The sequence below is a fragment of the Homo sapiens genome, chromosome 11 (genome assembly GCF_000001405.40).
Source record: "Homo sapiens chromosome 11, GRCh38.p14 Primary Assembly".
Classification (NCBI taxonomy): Eukaryota; Metazoa; Chordata; class Mammalia; order Primates; family Hominidae; genus Homo; species Homo sapiens.
The window spans coordinates 100,206,846-100,228,799 of record NC_000011.10 but is presented as its reverse complement, the minus strand read 5'-3'; the positions used below and the strand labels follow the sequence as shown (position 1 = coordinate 100,228,799).

The window sequence follows — 21,954 nt, the reverse complement described above, 5'->3', positions numbered from 1 at the left end:
CACCCTAATTCCAAAGGCATCTCACACTGGAGGACTAGAGGATGTAGAGCCAGCCGAGGGCTGAGACCTCAGCTTCCTCATCTCTCCACTCTGAGTGCCGACTTCAGTGCCCGACACAGAGCAGGTGCTGAATGAATAGGTGGGTGAACAAATGAATAGCAAATTATAAGCAAATACCTGTAGACTTATTTTATTGACAAAACGGCCAAAATTTTAATGATTTTACTTTTGCAGTGAAAAGTGGTTGAGTTGGGAGAGAGTAAAGTTAGATATTCAAGGAAATAAATAATTATTGGAAATAATAAATGGAACTGAATTGATTGGACAGATGAAGGAAGTTCAATTGAAAGACAGGTTGAAATCTGTTAGCAATAGGAAGTGATAGGGTGGGGTTCAAGGTGGATGGTTGAAAGCAGTTAGATGTCTCCCAACAAGTGACATCCTGAGCTTAATTCATTCGTTTCAAATTCAACTATTAATACACTTTGGATTCATCATGTAAGTTGTAATTCAGGAAGTGAAAATTGTTCAAGTTTGAGGAAAGGCTGTGTATTCAGAAGGACTCGAGAGATTATTGATTATTCTTTGACTATTCCCAAAGTTTCTTGACCTACTGTTTTGTACTAAGAAGCAGAGTAATACAAATAGAGAAGTTGTATGAGAAAGTGAATTTTTATCACTTCTTCTGAATAGAAAGATAGTGCTATCACTCCTAGTTACCCTAGTTTAGCTAAGCACATATTATTCTTTAGTTTCCTACCCTTATAATTACTTTAGAAAACATACTTCTAACATTAATTTCTATAAAATAAAATAACAAAAAACTAATATTCCTTTCTCCAGAGTCTTTTACTTTGTGTTTGATCACTTCTGATATTGTCTGGGAATACTGGTTCTTAACAATTTGTATATCCTCCTCAGTGAGATTATCTCTTACATATCTACCTCCCTTTCCTTAATAGCATGATCGAGTTCTACTCATCTTTAAAAAGGTTCCCTATAGCAGTATTTAGTCATGCTTTCTCTATTGTTATAGCACACTTAAGTGACTAAAATGGTGCACAGATGTCCAGGTGTGGCTTTAATTTCCTTTTATATTTCAGCAAAATAATTTTTTCTAACATATTCATTCTATTATGGTTCTCCAGATTATGCATGGTGCTGTGATAATGCTGGTTCACTGAATATTAAATTTGGGAAAGCAAGTGACTTTATGCTTCAGGTAATTATTTACGAAAAAAGCAATCTTTGGAGAAAGGTGATCATGGTGGAATAGAGGTGAATAATGGCACTGACATTCACAAGCAAAATGAGGAGAAAGTGCAAACGAGCAGTTGAGGAAAAAATAGTCCTTAAAGTAGTGAATGGGGAGAGTATCAGGGAACATTACTACTCAGAAACACTCAGATTCTAAATAGGCAATGATGAGGCCATGTGGCTACACACCTGTGCTCCAATTTAGTGTTCATGAGCGGCAAGGTTGAAGAATTGCAGGATTTGGTAAAATGTATAAAATAATTTTATAGACTATCTCTCATGGGAAGGAAGACAATAAAAAAGTTGTTCCCGTCCATCAAAGAGAACATAGATTTTTTCCCTTAAATTTCCACTGAAATAGAATCATAAGAACATAATCCTTGCCATCCAAGTACGTTCCTTGTGATGAAGACATTGAGCAAAGTGAACTGCTCAGCCAATCTACTTTTAGTATTCTACTAAAAGATGAATGGGGAAATTGTTTTTAATATTCCCATCTCTCTGTGACACATATTTGAATAATTGTGCTTTAAGTATTCTGCTGCCAGAATTGTAGCCATCATCAGAAAAGCTCCATCTAGAATGCTCAACTTTGGTCCTGTGGCATATACTATTAGAATACCATGAGTTTACAGACCAACAAATGGAGGAGTGTGAGAAGGGAGACTGGCAGAGTAAAACTATTTCAAATTTTATTTCGCAAGCCAACATTAAAAACAGCAATATTCAAACATCAAAGCTTGTTGAATTACCAGGAGCTGTAAACTTACAAAATTTTTTAAAAGAGAACCAGAACTCTTAGTTCAGTGTTTAAATCTGTCTAAAACTCACCAGGAAGAAATGACAAGATATTTTTACTAATTTTAGAAAAGTAATGCAAATATATAATAGAAAAGTGGTGACTTGATCAAACTCACTTCAAGTGAAAGCTTGGGCTGAATGTTACATGAATATTCAGACAATAGCAACCTGTTTGAAATTGCTATTGGGTATAATCCGAAAATTTATGCATTTTATCATCTCCTAGGCATAAAGCCAAAGGCTAAAAGAGCAGAACATGAAAGCTGAACCTGAATTATATTCTAAACCCTGTTGAGTTTAATTTTACTTACAAAGCAGAATGTTAGTTTGCCACTTAAATTTACCCCCTATAGTCCAGTAAAAATACCTGGTTTCTTATCAGTCTCTAAATTGTGATATTGATTTGGAAAGCTCCAATTTTAAGAGCTTCATTCTAAATTACTAGGCAAGTGCAGACAATAAATATACATAATCTAAAACAGATCATAGCAAGAGAAAGCAAATTTCTATGAATTTGACTGAGTGTAGGGTTTGCAGTTCCATGAGTCTTGTAACTTCAGAAGGCACAAAGAGAAATTTTTAGCTAAATGGAATAGAATGTATTGAAAGGATGAATACTTTAAAAAGTTGGTGTTTTATAATAAGGTAACACAGATATACATGCTAGATATAAATTTGAAGAAAAGATCAAGTAGCCTTCTGAACAGAAACACACAAAAAATGAACAAACTACCAATCACCCAATAACACACTTCTTTAAAAACAACATTTTACTTGAACCAATGATGGATGCACTACCAAAACCCATATACATTCGGTGATATATATAACTAAAACATAGAGATGATGAGGCTCACTCTATGCCTTATGTTTACTGTTCAAGATTTTTAATATTTAAATTGTAAGAGTCCAGATGAATAAAAGACCAGTTAATCTAAAATATAGTTTCTTGCTATAGATGATAATGTTTTTATCTGTACAGACCATACAAGGGATCTAAGCATGCAATACTCATACTACTCAAAATATAATCGTATAAGATGAAAAATGAAGAGGTACTTGGTGGGATCTTGGTAATGTTCTGGTTTTTACTTTGAATGATAGTTATATGGTGTGTTTATTTTGTCATTGTTCATTAAGTTATACATCTGTATGCTTATGATTGGTGAAAATGTAGAAATATTGTACTTCAAACAAAGCTAAAAGGAAAGAAGGAAGGAGGAAAGGAAAGAAAGAGGCAGGGAAGAAAGAAGGAAGGAAAGAAGGAAGGAAATGCATGCTATGATCTCTATTTCCCATACTGTGGAATACTGTGCTAAAGGAAATGGGTGCTCTAGTCATTTGCTTAAGATGTAGCTTCCTAGGATTGCAGAATTTGGTGTACTGTTTCATAACTGGAAACCATTTAACTGTCATTTCTGCATAGAGAGGTTGTATGTTGACATTTTCAGACTTTAAAAAAATCCTTGTCACTTAACAATTGCAAATGCCACCATCTTACACATGCAGTTTTTCTGTTTTTGGAAGCCCAACTTAGAAGTAGTAGAAGAAAAAAATGCCTGGGGGTTCCACTAGCTTTTCATTTGCAAAACATATATACACACACACAAATTTTATCTCTGTAGTCCAAGTGACTTAGTAGCTCAACTGTTTAGATTATTTCCTTGGCATTAGGTTAAACACTTAGTGACAACTTACTACTAAAGGTGTTTTGGACTCTGAAGTTAGTTTGGTGGTTTTCATCTGTTACTAAGGAGGAGTTTTCCATGTAATTTTTTCAAAGGCAAAAGGTTAAGCGAAAATAACATATATTGTAAAATTGAAAGTAAAATGCACAGTACTGATGTGCTCAAAGTCCATGCATTTAAATTCCTTTGTATGATAATTTATGGTGATCATGTCTTCAGACTGCACTATTAGCATACTCACCCCTAACAAGAAGTTCTGCCTCATCTGACACACTGTCTGCTGTGGTCTGTACCCTGCAGCCATATCTCCCAGCATGCATCAGAAGGATGTTCCTGATCATTAAATCTGCAGAGGATGCTTGCTGAAAGAGGGATGAAGTGCCAGTTTAAAATGTTGCAAATCTGCCTAGTTCAAGGTGGCTTAAGGGGGAACTTTGCATATTCAGTAAAAGGGCCCATTTTTGGCCTTACAGTTTATCTAACAACAATTCAGAAATCAAACATGCCCTTTTTTAAGGAACACATAGAAGTTTTGTTTTTAACAATTGCTAATAAAGGGGTTGAACATTTAATATTGCATATAATGATTTAGCAGCTAAGATATTTAAAAATATTTAAGTATGCACAAACTCATATATTTAAAAGTATAGGAGAAATAATCCGTGAGCAAAAATGTTGCTTTGCTATTCAGAGACAGGTGTATTTTGTGGCAAGAAAATCGTATTGAAAGGAACAGCAACTTGTGGGAAATGAATTGTGAAAAGATAGCAATCAAAATATTATCTCGTGACTTTATTGAATAGCTCTTTTCCTAAGAACACTGTAGGCAACAGAATGAGACAGTGCTCAGTTGAAAGAGTGCTGGTCCCAAAGCCATGTGTCTTTACTTAACAAAGACATATTCCTCCCATAACCACTACCATCATGGATCAGGGTCAGCCTGAATCTTTGTTAATCAGTGCAGTTACAAAACACAAAGGAAGCTCCAAATACCTGATTCTTGTTGGGGGCAAGATGATTAGAACACAGTTGAAGAAAAACTGCAGTTAGGGAGATCAATGAGTACCATGGAGGATATCTTTTAAATGTTTTAGTTCATGGGATAGGTGATGTTCCTATACTTTAAAATGGCTGGTACAAACCTTCCATTACTTAGTGTTGTCTTTAATTTACTCTATCAGGAAAGATGGATTTCCTTTATCGTGATCATGTAAAGATCTGGTTGATATTTACAATAACTCAGGAGGTTTTTATTTTTCAGGTAATGACATAGCAAAACTCCAATATTCCCTTCAGTTTCCATTTTGTAATCTAACGATGACTGGAATAAGATAAGATGCATGCTGCTTGAAATGACATCAAAGAACTCAAAAATTTTCTCTAACAGTAATTGAGCACATGAAATAATATGTAATGAAAGTCATAGAGAGGCATCCCAGATTACAGACCTTTAAAAAGTGATGTGTTTGTTCTTAGTAGTCAGTATCCTGATAATTATTTAAGAATTTAGTTGTTTGCCTTTATTTTGAGATAGACCAATGGGTTTTATGAAAATCATAAAAACTAGACAAATTTCCAGATATCTTTTGAATTTTCTTTTTCTCTTAGCTTTCATAGAAAGGGTGCAAAGTCATTGTGAACTTTTTATCACTCAAATCATAAATATTTATTTCAGTGAATTACTATATACTATGTTTTAGATCATTTCTTTCTGGTATTTAATTTCTGTTGTGTTTTGCTTTTTGCCTTCCTGTTAGTCTTATAATCTGAACTTCTGAGGGTATTGAAGTTTTCTCTCATGAAATAATTGTTAAGACATGGTCTGGTTTAGTCATTTACAAGGACATGCTTCATAGTGAGAATGCATTAAAATGTCATAAGAATTCTTTCAAGGAATGTGATATTTGTCCAGTAAATGTCCTACACTGCTAATTTCTTTGGGATAAATTGCTACTTTTAAATCCTAACTGAATTCATCTTCTCTTCTTCACTAGACTAAGTGCTTACTTCTCTCAAATCAGAAAAAGCAACTTTAAAACCTTTGATTTTTTTAAATGGGGAAATAAAAGCAAACTCTAAATGTTAATAAACAATAATTTAGTTTCAAATCAATATAATTTAATACTGTATGAATGAGCTTTTTTATATTTGCCACTGTGGGTAAGATGGGCCCACTTTAGCTTCTTTCTCTCTGGATTTCTTAGGTCTTTTAATGGGGTACTCAGTTAATCAGGAATGGCTGTGCACACTACAGGCCCAGAATAGGACCTATGTCTAAAGGTAAATCTAAGGTGAGGCCTCACAAATCAGGGAGGATTTGATTTTTTTTCCTGGAAATAGCACTGTCTGAAAGATAGTGCCTTTTGTTGTTGATGTTGTTTTGTGGCTTTTTTTTTTATTTGCTTGCTTGTTTTTTAATATCACAAACCATACTGGTGGCAGTTTAGTAGAAAAGTACTGATTATAAGTGATTTTTCAGGCTCACATTTTTGAAAAATGTCATAAAATCACATTCCTGTAATTAATAACTGATAGTCTCATTTTCCAGACTTTTGTCTTCCCAAATAATTTATTTATATATCTCCTGGACAAAATTCCTCAAACCTGTTTGTTTCCATGGAATTACAGTGAAAAATAAGTTTAATCAGATAAAGAAGAGATGTAATTAAAATTACAAAAATGTCCAAGGAATTCAGGAGAGCGAGATATAGATTATCTTTTCTATGTTGTCCTTTACTTGGTTCTTGAAATTAACAGTGTGCAGTGCTCTATAAACTGGCCAAAGTTACATCACCATCTATCAGAAGCAAAAACTCTACAGCCTGTGGCATAGCTATCAATATCAAGACCATTTGAGGAGTTAAAATCGTCTCATTTTGGGCCCAATTCTTCTCTTTTAGATTCTATCTACATCATATTTTTAACATCCTAAACAGGAAAGATTAAAAGTTAAAAAGAATAGATTGTGAACACTAAACCTAAATTACCCTTTCAGTAGATTTACTGATCTTTCAAGAGAAGTAATGAGAGGAATTCATGTGGGAGCCCATTATACTAAATCTCAGCTCACAGTATGCAGTTCCTGAGAGAGAACCTCCACAATTTAGTGCACTTTTAATGAAATGGTTACTTAAAGCAGATGCTTGCTTTCTTAAACTTAAACCTCATTTTCACTTTTTGTCTCTTAGGAATTACCCTTTGTTTTCTTGCTTTCTTTGACACTTGCTTTATTTTCTGTCTTTTTTTTTTCTGCTTTCGTTGACCTTATGAACAAATCCTGCTACTTGTTGCTTCAAATGAATTTTGCCACAACCAGTGCTTAACACAACACGCCGAAACCTTGCATAGTACCTGCCACATAGTGGGAGCTTAATAACTATTTGTTGAATGAGTAAATAAAGGAAGGCTTTTTAAGAAACAGGATGTATGTTCACTCTCTGTTAGAGCAGCAACAGGGGTATGTCATTTACATATCTTGGTCAGATCGTTTCATTAGAGCAACTGCTAGATTACTGTGACATTTACTAATGACTGAAATAAAACAGGAAAATGCTGTCTTTCCACCCAAGTCGAATTCTTTCTTAGCTCGCATTTTGACTAAGTATCCTGCTCATCCAACGTAAGACTGCCAATTATATTCCTAAATAATGAAAGCTCATTTAGCATTGCTGTTCAAAGTGTCTGCTGGCTCTTGTTGCCTTTAGAATACAGTCCAAACTTCTTATTTTGACGTAGCTCTTTAGAGCATGATTCTACCTCCTGCAACTTAATCCTGTCATTCTACAACACCAACCTTACATTCACCTAGACATAGGCATACTTCCCATAGCCTGTTTGCATAGCTTTTTTGTTCTGTTGCAGGTGCTCTTTCTTTTTTCTTTTCCTGGAAAGATTCTTTTAGACACAGCTCAGAGGTTTTTCTGGACTCTCTCTCCCTAGGCTTCCTTAGCTTTCCCTCTGTTTATGCTCCAATGTCACTTTGTTCATGTCTCTGAATCAGCACTTGCTATTCGTAGATGTCTCCCCCAAGGTCCACGATGGGCATTCCCAAAGCTGAGCTAGCACTAGTGCAGCCAAGGATCATTAAGCGAGATGATGAATGCATGAAGGCTTGCTTCCTTTCCTGTGTGTAGCTGACAATACCTCTGGCCCTGCTGCCCCTTTTCCTCTCTAGTAAGTTAGGAAAAGAGAAAAAGACTATGGAAAAAGACAGTGGAAAAAACACCTCAAGAGTATATGTGGGTTCTAGAATGACAGAATTGTGTGAATCCCTGCTCTACCACTTATTAGATATTCACCTTGGGAAAATCACTCCATTGCTCAGAGCTTCTCTCAGAGTTTCAATATGATAATGTGAGTAAAGCCCATAGCAGTGTGTCTGGCATATAGTAAGTGTCTGATAAAATTTATCTGTTGAAGGGCACTATAATTGCACTCTTAGCCAAGAGGAAGGTTTTTAAATTGGTATTCACTCTCTTAGCAAACTGGGTATCAATATTTTCCATAGCTAGAGTAAGCTATGGAAATACCTAGCTTTATTTTAGATATAAATATTCCTCACATCCTTTCTGTCTTATTGTAGAAAAGCATTAAGCATTTTATGTATTAAGCATTTTTAGTTTTCTAAATCTTATCTAGCATAAATAACTGGGTATCAGCCATGAGACAGAGATTTTTAGATAAGTTTAATGTTACTGACGTAAAAACTTGGAGTTAAAATATTTTCCTAGTAACAGTATTTCTTCTTCCAAGAGGATAATTTTTTTTTTTTTTAATTGAGACAGAGTCTCGCTCTGTCACCCAGGCTGGAGTGCACTGGTGCAATCTTGGCTCACTGCAAGCTCCGCCTCCCGGGTTCGCACCATTCTCCTGCCTTAGCCTCCCGAGTAGCTGGGACCACAGGTGCCTGCCACCACGCCCGGCTAATTTTTTGTATTTTTAGTAGAGACAGGGATTCACTGTGTTAGCCAGGATGGTCTCGATCTCTCGACCTCATGATCCACCCACCTCAGCCTCCCAAAGTGCTCAGATTACAGGCATGAGCCACCACGCCCAGCTGGTAATTTGTTTAAAGTACCCTACTATGATAAGGAAATAATACATAGACAGTCTTTTTATAGTTTTTTCTTTACTACTCATAGAATAGGGTTTAAGGATGATATGGGTTTTAATATTGTTTTTAGAAAATAGATGATATTTAACCTACATGCTTGAATAACTGAACATGTTATCAGAAGTAAAACTATTAATCACTACTAGTGAAGAAAATAGTCAAAATAATATTTGACAAAACATTTATGTGTATTATGATGAAGTATTAAACATAGCCAACAACACATTGAAGACTCAAAATGAGTAAATAGGGCTGTAACATCCCAAGACTGGGATCTTGATATTTAATTTTCAATCCATATTCTAATAATTTAAGTCCTAAGAAAAATGCAGAAACAGTTCTATTTGTTGACATAGATTAAAGAGGAGAAACAATTGTGTTTTCCCTAGCCACAAGGTAAATGGGAAGTTCTTTATCTGACATTAACACAAGTGAGTAATGCAAAAGGGCTGGTAGCATTTCTGTATTAATCTAGTGCTTCCAAGGTAAAGAGAGGGCTGAAATAGATAAGGTCACATAATTTATCAATCTCATGTTTTCCTGGGCTGACTTGTAGCTCCATTCAATCTGATGGCAAAAGTTTGTGTTACCTGATGATGAGACTGTTTAACTCATCTCCCTTTATTGTTTATTCAGTATATTACTAATTACAAAAGGTATTCATTTGTGCTGTGCTAAGATTTGTGGATACAGGCATAGAATCTGTGCTCAAGGAGTTTCCTGTCTAATTCAGCTTTGACAGAAGACACATTGGCAGGGAGTGTGGACCAGCTTTCCTCATACCTACATCTGAGCTTTGAAGAGACATGGGGAGAGATGGATCTGTTATTTGATAGCACAATACTCAGGCTTAGTCCGGAGAAAAGTATTTTCTCTTTTTGTGTGCCTTATATAGTTTTAGCAATCATTGTATGAGCACTGATTCCTAAATTTATATTTTTAATAGTAGCTTTGAAATGAGGTCTTTATATCCTCTTTGTGATCAACTCTCTGTCTCACATGCTTATCCATCTGCTATGCCAATGCTAAGTTAATCCTTTAAAACTGATTTTATTTACCACCTCAAAAATCATCACTGGTTCCCTTTTGCCTACAAGATGGTCCACGTTCTTAATCTAGCATATGAGGCTAGACTCAACCTATCTTGTCTCTCACCATGGTGGAAAATGCAGTCTCTGAACCTTCAAGCAGTTCCCCAGTGATCCACCAAAATCTACAAATTATATCTCATATGTTAAGACCTTGTTCAAGTCTTATCTCTTTCAGAAAGGTTTCACAGACCACCAGGACTGGCTACGTAATTTGTGGGCCCCTGTGCATAAGAAAATGCAGGATTCTTTGTTTTAAAATGAAGACTTCAAAATGGTAACAGTCAAGCACTATATCAAGTATGAGACCCTTCTCAGTATGGTGCCCAGTGGGTTACATGCCCATGAGGTTGGTCCTGCTCACCACTCCAATCCACATTGATATTTCCTGTGGTCTTCTGAAACATTAGCCCATTCTATGAAACATTGGTCTTTGAGATAAATATCGAGGAGCTGGTATGCATCTCTTTGTAAATTATAGAACACTTATCCTTTCCTGCTTTAATGTTTATACTTTCTCTTTTATGCTTTATTGACTTGAAGTCTTTTTTTAGCGTATGCTGATATGTAAATACAGAAATAGAATACATCTTCTTAAGGCTTGTGTTAGAAACTACAGTGATATATGTTACATTTTATACTGAATGTTTGGTGTAAGGCTATCCAGGCGTTGGTATATTTATGTGTTATTTTCTCCAAATATTCTTTCTACTTTTTTCTTGGACCTCCAATGCAAATACAAAGCTCATTGACGCATATCATTAGATTCAACCTGTTCACTTTATACTGGTTTGTTAATGACAAAGGAAAGAGGACAGTATCTCAGTTGAAAGAATGGAGGTGAGGACTCCTCTAAACTTTACAGTCCTAGAGGTAGAAGGGACCATGTTGGGACTCTCAACCTCACTTTTAAATTGGCAGTTTTGTAAGTACAATGGCAAACCAGTTTAAGAGAATTCTAGGCAGGAGTAGTATTTAAACTCACATCATTAAAGTTATGAGAAATTCCTCTCTAGTGTTTGTATGATGGATCAACTTTCTCTTGAAATCTCCTCAGTAATAACATCTTCTAAGCTGAATAACAGCTGGTCCATAGGTTGGCTCAATGAGGCAACGCTGGTAGGTAAGAAGATTTTAGCAATTGTGACAGACAATACACATTTTTGCTTGCAGTGAATTATCCCACTGTCTAGTAATAGAATAATCTTACTATCTTTCACTAAGTCTATGCTCCATAAAATACCTCTCATTGAAGTTACACAAAGGCGATAGAACTAGTCAGAAAAAAATTGTACATTTATGCATTAGCTTGTGCTTTGTAAATAGCTAGTAATACATGACCACCAGGAAAGGTCTAGAATTATAACATTCTACAGTAGCTATACATTTTATGGATGCTTATAGCACATGCACAATTATGTAATTATTTAACAAGAACTTGGTAGACTGTCATTTTGTCTAGACAGAAAATCACAAATATGTGACACTTTTGCAACTATGTTCTTCTTTATCATAGCAAGCATGGCTGTACTGTGACCCAACCAATAGATTCTTCTTAACACAGTGACTAGCATAAAAGTCACTGTGTTAAAAGAAGCTGGCATAAAATATGCTATCTTTTTATCATACTTGATCTACACATGCTACAAGATAAAGAGAAAAGATAAATTATGGCTTTGAGAAACTCACAACACAATGTTAGAGGTAACAACCAGCTGTAATGTGATGTGTTTTGTTGAAATAGGTAATAGTACAAAAAGTCATTGCAGAAAAAAATGATTTTAGTGTGGAAAGATAAATAAATTATGTAGCCTAACCAATTCCCATAGCAGTTGAGAAAATGGGGCTGAAGAGTTTAGGTAACTTGTCCATGGGCAAGCTAAGTGTGGAGGCAGGAGTAAAGCTTTGGGCATCTGATTTTTGATCAGGTATTCCTTCTATTCTCCTGTGCCATCTAGGAAACCCCTCCTTGTTTTGCTTGAACCTATAGGTAATTTCATTCACTTGCACTAGTTAATTCAAATTTGGCAAGTGTAGTAATATAAAATGGCTTCATTGAGTAGTAATGACCATAAAACTATTATTAGAAATTATTTCAATGAACCATAGGTTTATTTGAAAAGCTCATGCTTTTATGACTGTTTTCATCAACCGCATCTAGGCATAAAAGGCTGCATAGCTCTATGAAATGTCAGTATCACCTTTCCGATAACACCCAAGACCCATTTAGTTCATTTGCTCATGCCATCATTTACTTTTATTGTGACACTTATCTAGTATCAAGAAAATTTTCAATATGTGACCCACAACTGACGTGTCCTCAGTTAGTCATGTGTAATTTATAATAACACAGCTTTAGTGGAAAAAGAATTGGCCAAATTTTACTTCCTAACCTAAGTGCATAATTTAGATGAATTGATATTTTACTGATATATCTTTTTTATTCTAATTTAGAGATTGTTTTGTCATATTTCCAATTTATCTTTTAAGATTAATATTATTTTGTTACACTGGCTTCCAGGATAAATTACATTTTATTCTGCTGCTATTTTTACATTGCAGAATAGTCAGTGTCTTAACACAAATCTGGTCTCTTCCTGGCTGTGTGGAAGAATACTCAGATACCTGCCTGTAGGTTTTCTAACTCCTCCTTGAAATAAGCAGAGCCCAGCCACGGAGAGTATGAGTAGCTTCATCTCACTCATCAGTTAAAATGAGTATTGACCTGGTATTGTGAAAAATCCAAAATCTTGGGATTGTAGTAGACCACTCTGTGCTTCATTGATTTTTGTATGGAACTCTAAGAATTAGCATGGAATGAGGCCAGTTTGTTTGTGTACCTCCTTTGTGGTTTGGTCTCACAGATAAAAGCAATTTCTTTTTCACCTTCGATCTCTGGTCTCATAGAGGAGGGAGGCTGATGCTAAGTCCCATAAAACTAGAAGAGCTCCACCTGTTCATTCTACTTCCATTTCTTTCCTCCTCTCATTGATTAATGACCAATTTGCATATTATTTTGCCTTTTATTCCTTCCAGGGCATTGATTCTGCCCCTGCCCTGTAATCCACAACCTCTCTCTAGAGTACAATACCTGCCAATACTTGGAATGGAATGTCAATGCTCCATATGAATTACATTTAATATCCCCAGCTTCTCTTCATTTCTGCTTGCTGATACTTATTCTTTCCTATTACTTATTCTTTCCTGTTTCCATTATAGTGACTAAGCATTGCATTATGGGGTATTTAAAATTTATCTCTAGAGCCAATGGTGAGATATACTCTATTTTATTACGGCTGAACATGACACTATTGCATAATGAATCATTCACAATCTGTTTTACACTGCATTAGTTGCTGTGCTTTATGGTAACACTACTTGTATGCAGTGTTGTACAAAGAATCTGTTCGGCCTAGGATATAACTACTTGTTCACTGTGGTAGATTAAGAATGTCCACATATGTTTTGCCATTTGACTTACTGGGAGGTATACTCTAATTTCCTACTCCTTGAATCTGGACTGGCCTTGGTAACTTTTTATGCCAATATCATGTGGAAAAAGTGAGGTACTGAAAATCCTATGGCTGGATCATAAGAAGGCTTGTAACTTCTTTCTAAGCCCATTGGGACATCTATTCTGGGGAATGTAAGAAAAATTGTACTACATTCAGACTGTCATGTGAAAAAGGCTAAGCTAGTGAGGTGGGAGATTACATAGATAAAGAGAGAAGGCCAGACATTTCCAGTTATTTTAACCATTCTAGCCCAGCTATACTTGTGAATAACAAAATCACACTGGGGATTCTAGACTTGGCAGAAGCAACATGGAGAAGATCTCGGGAACCTATCCAATATCCACAACTGAGGCTTCTGGCATATAGCACCCCCTGAGCCATCCCAGCCATCTCCAGCCATTTGGCTACCCCAGCTGAAGGCTTAGCAACTGTGAAGCATATTCAAGCCATCCTTGCTGTTATCTGCCTGATTTACTTGCCCACAAAATGGGAAGCAGAGTAAAATCTTTGTAGTTTTATACTGCTAGGTTTTGGAGTACTTGTACAGCAGAGAATAACCATAAAATAATGTGGTACCTACAAGTGGGGTACTGCTGTTAACTAAAGCCAAAACACTTGACGTTGGCTTCGGGGTTAGGTGTGCAAAGGTTGGAAGGGTCATGATGACACTACTAGTGAAAGCTGGAAGGGCCTCAAGGAGACTGTTGAACAGGGACTGAAGGACAGTGAGGACATGGGTATTCATGGTTGAAGAAAAGGTGACCTTCCACGTAGTGTTGGAAAGTTTGGCAACATTGTCACCTGAGGTCATGTGGGCAACACATTATTCATCATGGATGAACTTTGGGTTTATGTAAGGAGATTTTCAGGAAGAAGACTGATGGTGCCAACTGGTTTAACTGTGTATTTAGGGAGATGAGTTGTAAAGACAGAATTACTCATTTTTCAAGCACAATTGTAGCAGTGGAAAGAAGGCCTAGCACGACTAGCTCCATTTTGCTCCTAATGCCCCTACCCTTCAGGGATATATTTTAGGCTAACTGCTTTTGCTATGGAAATACACAGTTTTCTATGGAATACGCATATTGGCAGACATTTTAAAAGAAAGAAATGAACAAAAATGGTAGAAGAACTTTCATACATTTTTTTTTACAAAACTTAATATTACTAATGAAATAATTAATTTTATATCAGCATTTCTAAAGACTATTTTCCAGTAAATTAATATTTGGATCTTTCAAACTTTTTCACAATTCAAGTTTATGAGATACATATTTGTCATCTTTTTTGGCAATACTAGTAAATATTTTAATAAGCATAGTCTTCAACAAGTAGCTGTATTATTTCAACTATGTGCTTTAAGACCAAATACTGAGTATTCTTTTGCCAAGCTTGCTTTGAAAGTTTCTGATGCTTAGAAACAAGTTTCTGAATGAAAAAATACCTGACTGCAAAAGAAGAAAATGGGTGATAGCATCCATTTTAACACTATCTTTCACAATCAGGAAGATTCTCATCAACTTCAAAAATACTTAGAATTGAGGCAATTAAAACACATCAATGTCAGAAAAAGCTAACTATTCAAAGCAATGCTTACATTGTAGAGTACAGCAACAATCTTCCAATGAACATTCAAATAGAAGAATAGTTCAGTTTAAAAAAAGGTCAATTTGAATAGATGTGTCAATCAAAACCAACTATGAAAAGTTCAAGGTCAAGGACACTCAGTCAAATTTAACTGACATTTTGAAAGTGAGTCAAGACACAGCCACAGAAAACTCATTTTAAATAACAAGTCTTAGCTAGGCATTGAATTTTATGAAAGAGGATTCACCATTTATTGAATGTTCAAAAATCAAAGTCAAGTCAGATTGATACTGAAAAATCATCGAGACCATATTCTACTACTGCTCATTGTTCTCTAACTGTATAATACAGCTTCCAGTATTACAAGAGACCCTGTAGATTATTGTCTTCAAGCTAGCAGAAATATGTAAATGCTGGAACTGAAGTCATTGACAGGTGCATTTAGAATTATATTTAAAAGACTTTCAAAGTTGTACACATTTGAATTTATTGCAACACCAATTATCATATATGCTTATATATTTGATCCAAGATTTCATATTGATAGGGCTTGATTGTTTCATTGTATGTGAAATTTGGAGGGAACTAGTTATACAAAATAAAGGATGCTGATCTATTATACAGAGAGAATGGCATTTTTTCATTCTATAAGCTTATCGTTGCTTTTAGAGAAAATCTTTAACTTTACAGGAATCTTTTATTATTTAGTAAGATATTACAGATACAAATGTTGTTTCTGCCATGGGGAATAATTCTGACTTGAATTTTTTTCCAGTTTGAAGTTCCTCCTGCATTGAGAAATTCCCAGTACTAAGGGTGCCATGAGACTGAAACATCTTCCAAGATTAAGAAAGTTTGCAATATTTATGAGAGAAAAATATGATTTTAGAGCTAGCAGTAATCCCTCCTAAAACATGGTTGGTGTCCACTAAAATTTTTTTAGATCATTTCATGATTTCAAGTTATTGGACATTATATCTGGAGAGTTGCTGAGATTTTACTTTTTGAATATAAATGAAAAAAATCACCAAACTTTAGAACTAGATAAAGTCATTAGGAATCATCTACTCTAGCCTTTTAACTTTGAAGATGGAGACCTAGACAAGGGACATGACTTCCCCAAGGTCGTACAGCTAACTAGAAACAAAGTTGGGCCTACACAAAGAACTCTTGCCCCCTGTCTAGTAACTTTTACCACATAATGCTGTAATGCAGTAATGTAATTAGATGCTGCATATTTTTATGCAATAACAAAAATTTGGCAGCACCCATTTAAATTAAAAATAGTTTTGTTCTTTGACCCTGTCGTCTATTCCTGGTAATCTGTCCCACAGAAAGGAAATTGTTGATATACAAAGATACAGATGTTTAAAGATGTTTTCTGTAGCATTGTTCAGAAATCTCTCAACAAAGGAAACAAAGTTGGTATTTAATAGGGAAATGGCTAAATACATTGAAGTATAGTCACATTATGGATTATTATGGATCTATTGAAAAGAATGCATTAGAGCTATACAAGGTGACATAGAACAATTTTCAAGATTATTATTGAGTGATAATTATGAGATTCAGAAAAAGAATGTAAAATATGATTTAATTTTTATAAAACAATTATAAAAATATTCCCATTCATATGTAAATCTGCCCAGGACTACAGTAGGACAGAGTAAAATACAGAAGGACATACATGAGGATATTAGCAAACTAAACTGGGTGTGATAGATGCCATTATGGGGAGATAAAAGTAGGGGGAAAGTCATCCTTTTAAAGCATTTTAAACATCCATGATATGATCTCACCTGTGTAAAGTGTGTGTCTATATGTGCTTGAAGGGACATATGAAAACATGGTTACAAACATTACTGGTGAATATATCCACATAATTTTCCAGGTAGTTTTTATTTTCTTCTTTCAAGTTTTAATATGTTCAAATGATCTACAATAAACTTTTAAAAATTTATGTTAGAAAAATTAAATGTACCTTCATTGTGGTTAAAAAAACAAACAAACTGACTTAGAGCTGAAAGCTAGGGTTATGATGGAGAAGTACAAAGCTAAGTGTTTACCATCAACTAAAGATTATAAACTAATCAACTTGTATGGCTAACATGATCCATACCTGATAAGCAGCTCTTCTTAAGTTGTGTCCAAGTGAAGATTGCCTTCTATTTATAACTACAGATGGCTATTTAGAACTTAGTCTGTTTAAGATTCTGCCTCTATGATTTATGGTCTTTCCCAAGACATTGGTAAAAAAAAATCCCCACTTTTTTTTTTTCCCAATATCAGACTGATCTAGCACTGTGGTTGTCTGCTACAATCTATAGCTCAATTCCGTTGGTCTTCATTTGACATCGTTCTTCATACATTATTTTAAAGTTGCTTAGCAAAAGTCTTATTTTAGTTGTTAATCTTGGGGAAGCTGCTACGATGTTGTCCTGCTATTAACTATTCATCATACCTTTTCAAGCTAGCAGAAATACGTAAATGCTGGCAACTGAGTTCCAAAACCTCAAAAGCATGTTACCTTTACTACTGGTGGGCATCACCCACCAGAAGTTCTTAATGTTAAAAGTAATTGTAATAGCATAGTAAATGTAATGCTTATAATGATAGATGAAACCTCAGTGGCTGATCAAGGACTTCTAGACACATGGAGGATGACATTTTACAACTGGTCTCTGGATCTTAAAGGTTTGATTCGAGCTTTATGCAACTAGGATGGCTCAAGCTAACTACAGACAGTTTTTATTTTTGGCTTAATCTAGCACATTGTACAATGTGTCAACTACCTAGAAATAGTTATATTACTTCAAACTTATCTTGGCAGCACATTGGGTTTCTGTGAAGACGAATACACAATCTATATTTGAATTATCTTTTGGCATATCGAGCCATATAGTTAAGTTGATTTCCAAAGTCTTTTTGATTTTATGTATTGAGATTATCATCATGACTGCATACACATTCTTGAAAGGTTTCTTGAAGGACGTTGATGGGGTTCACATTATTTTTTGGTATTACTAGCTAAAAACCTACCTCATGGGAAACAAATTTTCTAGCATTGTGTTCACAGATGGAAACATTACTGTTGAATACAAGAAATTCAGCAAAACTGCCTAATGTAATCTATCATCATTATAAACTTTGTCAAGTCTCAAATGCATTAATCAATATACATTAGTCATCTTTGTTTTTATCTTCAAATATCTTTTGAAAGCTCCTAAATCTTTGAATTATCAAGTCTAATACTTGAGTTACACATTCACATCCTAAAATGTGTATACCTATTTTGTACCTCAAAGCCACCCATATAATCTATATAAATAAGTTTCATAGGAAACAGAATTATTGGAGAAGTTGAAAACAATATAAATCTGGACTTTTTTTTTTTTTTTTTTTTGAGATAGTCTCGCCCTGTCACCCAGGTTGGAGTGCAGTGGCAGGTTCTTGGCTCACGGCAACCTCTGCCTCCTGGGCTCAAGCGATCCTCCCACCTGTCTCCCTTGTAGCTGGGACTACAGATACATGCCATCAAGCCTGGATAATTTTTTGTATTTTTTTTTTTTTTTTTTTGTATAGAGGCAGGTTTTCACTGTGTTGCCCAGGCTGATCTCGAACTCTTGGGCTCAGGTGATCCACTGGCCCCGGCCTCTGAAAATGCTGGGATTTCAGGCTTGAACCATGTGTGCAGGCTGGACTATTTTTTTAACCTCTACTATTTTCTTAGATTAACCTACTGTTATCACAGCTTTATATAATAAATGCTTAATGTAATTCTAGATTAGCTACAGGTTCATAAATATTTTCATTCTCTCCACTAGTTAAGCTCTGCAGCAAAGTCAGTGATAACACAAATAACAATACCCTTATTCATTAGTGAGGAAACAACTGGAACATGCTGGTTTAAAAGAGCCTATGAATTCATTTTGTGTATGTAACATGCAGTATACTTTATTTTTGCTTCAGATATGCCCATAGTCTCTTTATAGTAGTTTATTAATAAATATACCTGCTTTTGTTTTTATCAAAATGTGGCTGAGGCACTGAGATCACTAGAACTAACATGTGGTAGAAACATTTAACAAGGATTATTTTAGGACAGATGAGGTAGCAAATATTATGACTGTCTTCTAGACATGCTATTTTTGTGAAAAACCAATTAACCCATTTATGTTTTCATTAGAAATTAATGTTTCCCTGTTAATTTCTAACTGTTGCTGATTTTCTATTAACAAGTAAAGTGATTAGAATTTTCTAACATGTTAAAAAGAATGTTAACCATGTAAAATGGAAAAATGACTCTCTTTAACCAGATTAAGTGCTTTGTCTGGCTGAACTTAATTCAGTAAAAAAGGATCCATTCAAATAGTGGCTGGTTAATTTGGTAAGAGCAGTTTACCTAGTTCATGTTGATAGTGACAATATATGTTGACTTTTAGGGTTGTACAAATGATTATTTTTTGAAAGGCTATCTCCTACACCTCTCTCCTCCACATCACACCACACATAAAATCTAAATTTTAGTTTAGTATCAAAATGATATCACAGCTAAAGTATCATTTAGAGGTTGTGTGGTAGATTGCTACAGTAATGGTCCTGGATCCACATCCTTATATAATCTCCTCTCACACTCACTCTGTGCTTCTGTAAGTGACTTGGATAGGTCAGTGAGACATGTGTGACCATGGAGCAAACAGACAATTGCATTGCGTGCGTGCACTGGAGATTCCTGTCTTGAAATTCTGTGATAACCACGCGACATAGCTTGGACTAGCCTGCTGCAGAATAGAAGACCACTTAGAGTAGAGACAAGCCATCCTAGCTGCCCCCTTCACCAAACAGCTCCCAGTTGACCTGATCGCTGACAGTAGATGCATTTATGACCCCAACTGAGACCACCAGCAGTCACTCAACTGAGTCCAGATCAAGCCACTGACCATTAGATTTGAGTCATACATTTTGGGCAGTTTGTTTTGCAGCAAAAGCTAACTGGAAAGTAAATTTGGAGCCATGATTGAATGAGACTTCTGTGGATTCTGGTATGAAAGTTGCAAGTTGGAGAAATGTAAAAATTGTGGGCAGATGGTGGTAGGTTGCAAAAATGGCCACAAAATTTTGCAGTTCTTCCCAACCAGAGGTGGAGCCTATTTCCTTACCCTTTAAATCTGGTATGGCCTTATGGCTTGTTTTAACCAGTAAAATGTGATGTAAGTTTCTTTGAGCAAGTTCTGAGTCTAGGCCTAAGGAGTCTTAGCACTACTGCTCTTGGTCTTAGAACCCTGAGATCTTTAATGTGAACAAGCCTGGGCTAGCCTGGTGGATGATGAGAAACATGTGGCTCACTTCCTCCAGCAGCCCCAGCCAATGGCCAGATGATGCCCGAAATGAATGCCTTGAAGTTGATAGGCAGCTGATTGCAGATGCGTGAGTCTTGGTGAGACCCATAGATGTACTCTGGCTGAGCCCAACCCACATTGCCAACCCACAGAATCATGAACTAAATAAATGGTTATTTGAAGCCACTAGGTTTTTGCAAGGTTTATTTTGTAGTGAAAATTGATAGAGACCATATTTAATTCTTACCTCTATATATTTAGGATAACAACTTCTTATTTCCTTTCCTATAGTTACAGCAGATGAGCAAAAGGTATTCATTGATACTTAAATGTAGTTTTTTCCTCTAAAAATATTTAAATCTCAATGCCTAAAATATAAAAATGAGACAGACTAATGAGTTATTCCAGTCAGAATTTTGGTATGAGACTAAATGTGGTTGGAAACAGCAATGTGGGCAAAACCCAAAAAAAGTTAGCAACAAAAATGAACTTTAAATTCTCCTGCCTGATTATTTTACAAAGCAAATGGAAGCATTTGATATTGTCATATGATATTGAAATGTTTGCAGTTTAACATGGTAGAGCTACAGTAATTTTAAACACCAGAGACACCATAGCAGACTGTTGGAATGATTAGTGATGTGACGAGCTCAGTGAGCAAAGCATGTCACAGGGTCCCTTATTTTGGGGAAAGCCATAAGTATTTAACTTTTCTTGCAAATGATAAATAATGGCAATTGAAGTACAGGTTTCAAAAATGCTTTTAGGAAATACTATCACTATATTTAATAGGTACTTTAAAACAAATTTTGTAAATATAATATATTTATTTATGGGGCTATCAGTAGTTAGAAAGGATAAAATGCAGTATTTTTTAGTTTTAGTGAGGCTTCTTAAGATGTCTTTGAACAAGTTAGTAATGTTATATCTTCACTGGTAAAGCAATCTAAATTATTTTATCTAATTTTGCCTGAAAATAGTAAATTCTTTGGTTTTATAGAATGTGTAAGGTATATAAAGAAAAAGAGTTGATTTTAAGGTAATTCAAAAATTATCAGTCAGATTATTACCTTAGCTTATGCTAGTTGGTTGAACAACCTTTAGTAATGAGCTTAGTTGAATTCAATTAAACATTAATTGTAAGAACAAGCTTTTCTGCTAATGACATACCTATTTATTAAGTCAAATTTCTCCTCGAGTTTATTTCTCTCATCAGTATAATATCTGAATACTATAAAGCTTATCATGTTAAATAGTTGTTTAAAGGTCCATCTATCTGTTAATAGACAAACAGCTCTATGTAAAAGGGTGACACTGGCCTGGTCTTATTCAACCATACTCTGGTTAATGCTGTACACATTACAGGTAACCATTAAGTGTTTGCAAAGTGAACAAAGTTATCACATTTTTCCTGACATTGATATATTTTTATTTTTTGGTTGGGTAGTTCAGCAGATAATAAGGATATAAAAAAGTGCTGATATATAAGGATATACAATTCTATTTGTTTATATAATAATTAAACATTTTATTTAATATATATTTTGTTTAGCAAATATATCTGCC

The 21,954-nt window shown here is 35.1% G+C and overlaps 1 protein-coding gene across 8 annotated transcripts in view; it reads right to left on the bottom strand.

Annotated features, from left to right (window-relative positions):
• The window catches only part of CNTN5 (contactin 5), a 1,337,937-nt gene that overhangs the window by 130,086 nt on the left and 1,185,897 nt on the right, over positions 1–21,954 (bottom strand). For 7 of the 8 annotated variants that reach the window (XM_017017926.2, NM_014361.4, XM_011542871.2 and 4 more), the window contains one exon: positions 3,988–4,108. The exons of the other annotated variant lie outside the window; for it this stretch is intronic. In XM_017017926.2, the coding sequence (XP_016873415.1) occupies positions 3,988–4,108 (121 nt within the window). The remainder of the gene's footprint in view (positions 1–3,987; positions 4,109–21,954) is intronic. 8 annotated transcript variants of the gene reach the window in all.